The sequence below is a fragment of the Homo sapiens genome, chromosome 3 (assembly GCF_000001405.40).
Source record: "Homo sapiens chromosome 3, GRCh38.p14 Primary Assembly".
NCBI classification, from domain to species: Eukaryota; Metazoa; Chordata; class Mammalia; order Primates; family Hominidae; genus Homo; species Homo sapiens.
In genome coordinates, this window is record NC_000003.12 from 125392843 (window position 1) to 125402835 (window position 9993).

A 9993-nucleotide genomic window follows, 5' to 3' on the forward strand; every position below is an offset into this window, starting at 1 on the left:
TCCATGTGTATATAAAATAATCTAATATACATAATAATCATCTAACATATTTTAAATCATCTTATGTGTAAACACACACACATGTGTCTGTGTTATATGCTGCCCAATGACTAGTACATATTAAATACTCAATGAATATTAGCTGACATTAATATAGGTGACAACAATATTATATAAAAAAAAAAACTTAGGGCCAGGCATGGTGGCTCACACCTGAAATCACAGCACTTTGGGAGGCCAAGGCAGGAGAATTGCTTGAGCTCAGGAGTTCAAGACCAATCTGGGCAAAATAATGAGACCCCCGTCTCCACTAAAAATAAAAAATATTTGCTGGGCGTGGTGGCACAAGCCTGCAGTCCCAGCTACTTGGAAGGTGGGAGGATTGCTGGGGTCAGGGAGATCAAGGCTTCAGTGAGCTATGATTGCACCACTGCACTCCAGCCTGGGCAACAGAGCAAGAACCTGTCTCAAATAAATAATACCTTAGTTTTTTTTTGTTTTGTTTTGTTTTGTTTTGTTTTTTTAAGTTGAGTTCATTGGCTGGGCACGGTGGCTCATGCCTGTAATCCCAACACTTTGTGAGGCCAAGGCAGGCAGATGCCTTGAAGTCAGGAGTTTGAGACCAGGCTGGCCAAAGTGGCAAAACCCCATCTGTACTAAAAATACAAAAATTAGTAGGGCATGGTGGTGCATGCCTGCAGTCCCAGCTACTCGGGAGGCTGAGGTATGAGAATCGCTTGAACCTGGGAGGCAGTGGTTGCAGTGAGGCGAGATCAGGCCACTGCACTCCAGCCTGGGCAACAGGGCAAGACTCTATCTCAAAAAAAAAAAAAAAAAAAAAGTCAGGTTTATTGAAGTATAATTTACACAGAATATAATTTATCTTTTTACAGCATACATTCAATGAGTTTTGGAGGATACCGTTCTATAACCGCCACCACAATCAAGATATCAAAGTTTCATCACCCCACAAAATTCCCTCATACCCCTTTGTAGAAAATTCTCGCCCACACCCAGCCACAGACAACCACTAATCTGCTTTCTGCCCCTATAGTTTTTTGCCTTTTTCAAAATATTGTGTAAATGAAATATCGCCTTTTATGTCTGGCTTCTTTCATTCACGTGATACTTTTGAGACTCACCCAAGTTGTTGCATGTATCAGTAGCTTTGTTCCTTTTCATTTGAGTAGTATTCCATTGTTTAGAGATAACACAATTTGTTTATCAATTTACTAGTTGAGTTGATGTACTTCTGGGTTATTCATCCAACAGGGGTGGGATTTCTGGGTCCTATGCTAACTGTATGTTTAACTTTGTAAGAAATTGCCAAACCCCTTTCCCAAAGTAGCTATCATTTTGCATTATTGATCCAAATCCTCGTCAGCACTTGGTGCTGTCTGGTTTTTTGTTTGTTTGTTTCGTACTTTAATTTTAGCCACTGTAGAAGGCAGATAGTGGTATCTTGTTGTGTTTTAAATTTGCATTATCCCTAATAACTAACAATGTTAAGCTCTTTCATCTTTATTTCATTTCATAAAATACAGGACATTTTGGATGCTTTAAATCTCTAAAACTGTATTAGGTAGAAATAAACATGTTCATGCTGATAAGAATTAAATGTGTGCCTTCTCTCCACCCCATCATCTCCAAAGTGACTGCTTCCCCGCTTCCCATAAGAAAAGAAATGTCTGATTTTGTGTACTCTCTAGCAACCCAAGCTGTAGCCAATCTGCGTCATCCTCCCTGTGTAATTAGAGGCTGGAGGTGCCCACGTGTCTCATTTTAGGATCCTGTGGGCTACATTTGGCCCAGATTAGGTTATACTTTAGGCATTTCACTGCATATCTCTTCTTTTTCCTCTCAATGTTCCATTTCTCAGAATGTTTGTTCTTCAGAGAACAAATAGATCTGGGCTGGCATGAAAAGTCTCATTCTCTGAGGACAGTGGGGTGAAAGGGACCTCTGTCAGGCACGATCTCAAAAGCAGAAAAGAAAAGAACTCAAAATCCACCAGCCCTCAATGGCACAGAGTCTTGGACTCAAACCCAGCAAGAGTGCACTGCTTCACTTACTAAAATCGTCTGTCCACAAAAATCCTGTTTATTTCACAAGTGGGCACTGGCCCTGCCCACGTAGTCCACGTTTTCCTCTCCCTTCTTCTCACACAGAACCTATCACCACCACCACTTTTCCTTGCTTCCTAGTTATAGTTGCCAGATAAAATGCAGGATGTCCAGTTAAAATTGAATTTAACATCAACAATAATTTTTTTTTGGTATAAGTACACCTTGTACAATATTTGGAGGCTACCTCCACTGCCAGTGTAGAGGGAGCTAGTTTATTTTTATTAAGGAAGTCATGCACTTATTTGGTGAAAGAGACAAGAACCTGTTTGACTTCTTTTGGATCTATGCGTGGTTGTTTTCAGAGGCAACTGCTTACTTTCCCCACTGAAGCATCGGTCATGAGACTTCAGAAGCATGAAGAAACAGAGCTAGATGACAGTGACCTACCTTTCAGGAACAATCCCTATAAAAAAAAACAATGAAAAAAGCAAAGCTCTTTCTGGGCTGGCTCTGTATAACCATATGAAAAACTGACTACCAGCCAGGTGCAGTGGCTCAAGCCTGTAATCCCAGCACTTTGGTAGGCCGAGGCGGGTGAATCACCTGAAGTCAGGAGTTCGAGACCAGCCTGACCAACGTGGTGAAACCCTGTCTCTAATACAAATACAAAATTAGCTGGGTGTGGTGGCACACACCTGTAATCCCAGCTACTCGGGAGGCTGAGGCAGGAGAATTGCTTGAACCCAGGAGGCAGAGGTTGCAGTGAGCTGAGATTGTGCCACTGCACTCCAGCCTGGCGACAGAGCACTACTCCGTCTCAAAAATAAATAAATAAAATAAAAATAAATTAAAGGGCCACTTCAGCTCATTTCTGCCCAGCGCTTTGGGAGGCTAAGATGGGAGGATAGCTTGAGGCCAGGAGTTCGAAACCAGCCTGGGCAACATAGCAAGACCACACCCACCCACCCCCACCCCCGGGTCATCTCTACGAAAATTAAATTAAATTAAAATTTAAAAACTCATTTCTGGAGTCAATTTGATATAAATTCATTCATTTAATTTCAATAGTTTTGGGTTGCTGCACTGTATACCAAACCTGCTAAGGTTCACTTCCCCTACAGGTACGGGCAACAAGCAAATTGGAACCCTCTGGCCCCACATGTAAGTTTTAGAGGAAAAAAAAATGCAAAATATAAGTAAATGTAAACAGAACAAACATTACTTTTTAATAGAAGAGAAAAAATTTATTTAATGCCTCCTATGTGCCACGTTTCCTGTGTGCATTATCTACGTGTATCTAATTTTTGCTAACATATTTGTGAGTTGTGTGTTATGAGACTCTGAGTACAATAATTTGCCCAATACTAGTGGGTAGCTTGGACTTGAATTAAGGTCAGTCTGATTCTGAAACCTAAGGTCTCCCTCCTAATCTATACAAGTCCGATAACACCATCATCCAGGAGAAGGAAAGAAACGCTTCCCAGTAAAAATGCTCAGTGGCGTGTGGAAATTATCTCGAGTCAGCCCCACAGTCCAAGGCCTGCGAATCCACCAACCAAGCAGAACCCATCTGGACAGCTCTGACAGTGATGCAAAGGAGAGGTTTGAGGTGCCATGGCCATGGATTGTTTGAGGCAGCAGTGGGGCTTGAGTGAAGGGTCAGGACTAGAGATGGGTAATCGTCTCCTTCCAATATCACCATCGTCTCTGGAAATGATCTGAAATACAGAGTAGACATGAGAAGCAACTACAAACACTGAGGCATCCAAAAGTCATTGAAACAGAGGGGAGGAAAAGCATCTTGTAATTGCCAGAGGCCAGAGCAGCGAAGAGATCAGGAATCAGGCAGGCTGAGAAATCCAATCTCATTTCTAGCCGCCAAAGCACCATGACATGACTGTGCCTCCAAGGTAACGTCTGGGCCAGCCACGTTCAGGGACTGGGACCTGCGTCCTCAGGTGTGAACACCAACAACAGCAAGAGCTAACACTTTACATAGAACTTTCCAGGTGCCAGGCTCTGTTCTGAAAACTGTATATCCATTAACTAATTTACTCTTTACAACAGCCATTTGAGATTAGTACTCTTATTATCCTCCCTTTATAGATGAGAAAACTGGGACAAGGAGAGGTTAAGTAACTTGCCCAAGATCCCACAGTGGTTAGGTGGCAGAGCCGGGATTCAAGCAGGGCGGTCTGTGCTCTTTGCCATCAGGCCATACTGCTCTGGTCTTTGCACTGGTCCAGGAGTAGTGCTAATAAGTTCTGAAGAAAGGATTGAAATGATGAGTTGAGGCCAGGCACGGTGGTTCATGCCTGTAATCCCAGCACTTTGGGAGACCGAGGCGGGTGGATCACCTGAGGTCAGGAGTTCGAGACTAGCCTGGCCATCATGGCAAAACCCCATCTCTACTAAAAATACAAAAGATCAGCTGGGCGTGGTGGCACGCACACCTGTAATCCTAGCTTCTTGGGAGGCTGAGGCAGGAGAATCACTATAACCCAGGAGGTAGAGGTTGCAGTGAGCCAAGATCGCACCACTGCACTCCAGCCTGAGTGACAAAGTGAGACTCTGTCTCAAAAAAAAAAAAAAAAAAAAAAAAAGAAGAAGAAGAACAAATAATGAGTTGGGATCAGCTTACCAAAGAGGGCCATGGATAAAGGAGGGATGGCACTGGGGTAGCCACTGAAGGGAATCGGATTATGCAATATCAGGAGAGCAGCAGGAAGAGGAAGGGAATCCACAGTGTCCAGTGCTGCAGGGACAGGAGGGCCTAAGAAATGGTCATTGCAACAGGCAATCAGAAGCTTATGTTGAAGATATGGGTTACTCTATAATGATACAGATTTGGCTGCTGTAATAAAGACCAAAATAACAGTGTACAGTATATCTTCCTCACACAAGAGCCCAGCATAAATAGTTCGGGGATAATGTGGAAGTGCCACATTGATGGGGACCCATACTCCTTCTATCTTGTTGCTCTACTATCTTCAGCACATGAGGTTGCTATTTCAGGTCAAAAATGACTGTCCCTGACATCCTTCTACATTCTAGCCAGGGTGCAGGTGAAAAGCAAAAGTGAATAGCATGCCCCCTTTCTTTTCAGGGGACATCCCAGAAGTTACATACATGGTAACACTTAGCTGCAAGGAAAACTTGCAAATGCAATCTTTAACTGGGCAGTCTGGTATGCAGCTAAAAATAATGGGTTCTATTTCTAAAAGAAGATGACAGATGTTGGGACATAACTCTCTGTCACGAAGGTCATTGGTCACCTTTGGAATTACAGTTTTGTGTGAACCTATAAAGTTTGCAGGGAGATGATGGAGTGAATAAGGGGGAAGAAGTACCATCTGAGGAGGCTGGTGTTGCTGGAAATAGAGAAACTCAGGATAGTTTGAGAAGTAACAGAATAGAGAGTTAGTTTGTACAAGAGAAACAGGGAAGCAGGTTTGTTTGTGGAGAGCAGGAAAAAATAAGAGGTGATGCTGGAGAGGTGAGGACAGTCGATGGGGCAAGGCTTCAAGGATATTGGGTGAGAAGGGATTGAGGTTCAGTTGGAGAAATTAGCCTTGGGCACTTCTTTTTTTTCTTTGGGACAGGGTCTTGCTCTGTCACTCATGCTGGGGTGCAGTGGCACGTTCATGGCTCACTGCAGACTCAAACCCCTAGGCTCAAGGCATCCTCCTGCCTCAACCTCCAAAAAGTAGCCAGGACTACAGGCGTGTGCCACAATGCCCAGCTAATTTTTTCATTTTTTTGTAAAGACGGGGGTCTCACTATGTTGCACAGGCTGGTCTTGAACTGCCAGCCTCAAGTGATGCTCCTGCCTCAGCCTCCCAAAGTGCTGAGATTATAGGCATGAGCCACCATGCTTGGTCAGCCTTAGGCATTTCTTTCTTGAAACAAGAGAGAAGAAGGCAATGAGTAAAGATACAAAGACATTTTTATGTGAAAAGCAGGAAAGCTGGCCAGGTGCAGAGGTTGAGGCTGCAGTGAGCTATGATTGCACCACTGCACTCCAGTGTGGGTGACCTGTCTCAAAAAAAAAAAAAAAAAAAAAAAAGAGAGAGAGAGAGAGTAGGAAAGTTGAAGAAACCTGGATTCAGGTGTCCTCAATCCCTGCCATGTAGGTGAGATCATCTCCCTCCATAAACTGTGTTTCCAAATGTGAAGGCTGCTGAGAGCTTATGAAATCTAAGAATGAGGCTCCATCTGCCTCACTAGCATCTGATCGCCTGGGGGCACCCTGCCTCCCAGGAGGAGGTTAATGAATATGCAATATCTCCCTCCTACAGAGTTAGAACACCTGACAGAGCTGCCTCTAACCTGGGAAGCCAAAGAGACACTGTGGGCACAGAGTTGGCCCTCAATAAATATTTGTTATGTGAATGAATGCATGAATGAATGAACCAACACATTTCCTACTCCATGATTTTGGATAGTTGCACATGTTCAGAACATTAAAATTTCTCTTGAGCAGTACAATTTCCTGAAGGCTGACATTCATTTCAACTGATTCCATTTCCAAACCTGCTTCCTTCTTCTCTAAAACATGAGAATTATGTGTTCCCTGGAATTTCTGAGATGTGGATTTTACTAGGCAATGTCTGGATCTTCTGTTTTGAGTTGTCAGAGGAGCTTGTAGGGATCCACTCAAGCTAAATGTTGACTTCCTCCAGTTTAAAAAAAATAGCATCACTAATAGGTTGGTTTTTTTTTTCTCTAAAAGGAAAATATTCATTCATGGAAGTCCTTCGTGTGTATTTGTTTCCAACTGCCATAATGTCACATCATTTCAGATGCCAGGCAAGCCATGAGAGAACTCAAGAATCCAGATATTTCAGACCAAGAAAACAAAACAACCTCCCCTCACCTCCACTTCCAGCCCTCAGTTTTTGTAGTTGCTTCTCATGTCTGCTCTGCATTTCAGATCATTTCCAGAGAAGATGGTGACATTGGAAGGAGAAGATCAGATCAGCCATCAACCACCCACAAAATCAGGATTTTTTTTTTTTAGAGACAGCATTATCTCACTTTGTTGCCCAAGCTGGTCTTGAACTCCTGGCCTTAAGCCATCCTCCTGCCTTGGCCTTCCTAAGTGTTCAGATTATAGGCATGAGCTATCATGCCCAGCCAGGAAGTCTTTTATCATAGTCATTGTATGTGGTGATGTGCTGAGACTAGACAAACCAAATGACAAAGAGCTAGTGGCTGCTGCCACATAGGCACAAAGGCCCCCTCTCGTGAGAGAGTCCCCTCCCTGTGACAACTTGCAACCTTGACCCTCCCCTGAGCTTCTTGCTGAAAGAAGCCTATTCTGCTGGTCAGACACACAGAAATGATTTTCGAGCAAAATGATTACATCACTTCTAATTATGATTCTTATTTTCTGGCCTCAACATGAGGAAGTGATGTGCTTGCTTTTATCCTCACCTTCAGATGCCAGCTCTCCAAGTAGCCTTCACCTTCTGAAGGGCAAAGCTGCCTCTGGTCTGCTACCCTTGGAAATCTCTCTGAACTTGTCTCTTTCCAGACACGGTATTCTGCAGAGCGTTCTCTAAAGCCCTGACTCTATAACACAAGAAAAGAGCAGGTGTGCAAGGGAGCTGAGACAACTATCCCCTTCCTTCTCCAAGCGGGGCGGCTTTTGATGAATATATTTGGGTCACTACCTCTGCCTCTTTTCTATTCTCCTAAGAACACCGAGTTTCCCAATGTTCTGGGCAAGGAAACAGGGCACCACTTTTGGTCTCAATCCCACCCTGCCTTCCAGATTATTCCACTAACATCTGTCTGGAAACAACCCAGGGCCCCCATATCACTTATGTTTGACATGAGAGCCTCCAACTTCTCAGCCAGCATCCTCAAGTGGCCAGTGGGGCTCTTCCTGCCAGAGCACTAAAATTACAAGGTTGCATTTGTGTCCAATCCTTGGTTAAACATAATCAAATTGGTGCTAAAGCTTGTCTGTCCTTTTCTGACCACATGGTTATGGTCACGGGTGATTTGTGCCTCTGTGAGGTCTATCTTAGCCCATGCCAGGGTCCCCACGCTGACCTGGCCAGGGCCCAGATCCCTTTCTAATTACAGAGCAGCTAGCCTGGGTTCTTCTGTGTCTGAATCTTGTCCCAGCCCTTCTTGATGCATTTGATATTTCATACTCAGTGTTTGGTTCTGGGTATCATATTTAAGAAGGACATTGACAGATTTAGGAGAACACCCAGCTGGTGAGGAATCTGGAAACCATCTTATACCAAGAATGGTCAGAGAAACTGAGGACACAGGCTAGAGAAGAGAGAACTGGTGAGTGGACATGGCTAGACATGGTTGTTGTAGAAGCTCCAACTCTGGATTAGGGCAGAACAAGGACTGGTGAGATACATGTGTTGTTTTCAACTCAACAGAAGGGATACCTTTCTTTTACTAACCCAGCTACACTAAAGTAGTGCAGACTGTTCTAGGAAAATGGTAAGTGCCTCTTTACCTAAATTGTTCTAGCAGAGATTATCTGGCCCTCCAGCAGAGATGTTCCAGAAGGAATTCTTTTGTTGGTTAGGAGGCTGGCCTTCCAACTGCATAATTGCCTATTTCTATGAAGAAGACACAGAGAGGGTCTGGAATTTTTTGGTGACTATGATCCTGTTAAGCCTCGCTGCTTGCTTGGCTCTAGACATCAGTCAGCTTTCAACTATTATTATTATTATCCTTTGAAATTCTGACATGCTCTCCAGGAATTTAAAATATTCCCTTCTGCAGGGTGACATAGCCTGCCAGCTTTCAATTTCAAACTTCAAAGCTGCTTTGGACATGAAGGTTTGCTTTGACAATTTTAAAGATTTCTAGCCATAGGAAAAATGACTTGCACTTTGGAAATTTGTTTTTGAAATGTAGACCTATTGACCAATTTACTGGTTAGATTGAGAGTCCTCTCAACATGGACAAGCGCCTGTTTAACTTACCTTTGTTCTCTGAAATAAAAAGGCCTGCCTACAATCTAGAGCTGTCTGGAGCAGCGGTTCCCCACCCTGGATGCACATCAGCATCAAACAGCCTCCGAAAAAAATAAGGTAATTGCCCAGGCCTCACACTCATACGCACTGATTTAATTGGTCCGGGATTGGACTCCTGCATAATTTCTTTTTTTTTTTTTTTTTTTTTTTGAGACAGGGTCTCACTCTGTCACCCAGGCTGGAGTGCACTGGCGCAATCATGGCTCACTGTGGCCTTGACCTCCCAGGCTCAGGTGATCCTCCTACCTCAGCCTCCCAAGTAGCTGGGACTACAGGCGCATGCCACCATGCCAGGCTAATTTTTGTATTTTCAGTAGAGACGGGGTTCTACCATGTTGCCCAGGCTGGTCTCGAACTCCTGGACTAAAGCAATCCACCCACCTCAGCCTCCCAAAGTGCTGGGATTACAGGAGTGAGCCACCGCACCCGGCCATCAATAATTTTTTAAATGCCATGGGTCATTCCAATGTGGAGCCAGGGGTGAGAAACTGTTCTTGAGGAATTAAGAGTCGCAATAGTCAAATATGCCCCATGTTCCTCTCAGAAACTATTTCAGATCAAGCCAGTTTACTTGGTTTCTAGAGGATTCATAGTAATATCATATTCCAAAAGATCGTTCCGGAACAAACGGATGAATTCTTGATAACCTGTTGTTTTGATCCTCAGTGAACCTTGTGTCTCAGGTCTACTGGACCCAACTCTCACAGTGGGATGAGAGTGGGGTGGAGTTTGAGGGATGTTTTTACATCTCTAATGACAAAAGTAGGATTTTCTGCTCAAGCTAAAATCAACTGCAGGTGTTTTGAGTTTCCCTTGGATGCCCCTTGCCAAGACACAGTTTCCTTCTGCCTAGACAAAAACATCTTTCTCTGAAGCTTTCAAAGTCTCAGCCAAGAGGCAGCACTCCATTAGGG

At 43.8% G+C, this 9993-nt stretch overlaps 1 annotated feature.

Annotated features, from left to right (window-relative positions):
• Positions 8110 to 9309: an enhancer, noted in NCBI's record as "CDK7 strongly-dependent group 2 enhancer chr3:125119796-125120995 (GRCh37/hg19 assembly coordinates)". NCBI's record gives its function as "activates an origin of replication core promoter dependent on BRD2, BRD4, P300/CBP, MED14 and CDK7 cofactors, with strong dependence on CDK7, by STARR-seq in HCT116 cells {active_cell/tissue: HCT116}" and the evidence as "EXISTENCE:reporter gene assay evidence [ECO:0000049][PMID:35650434]".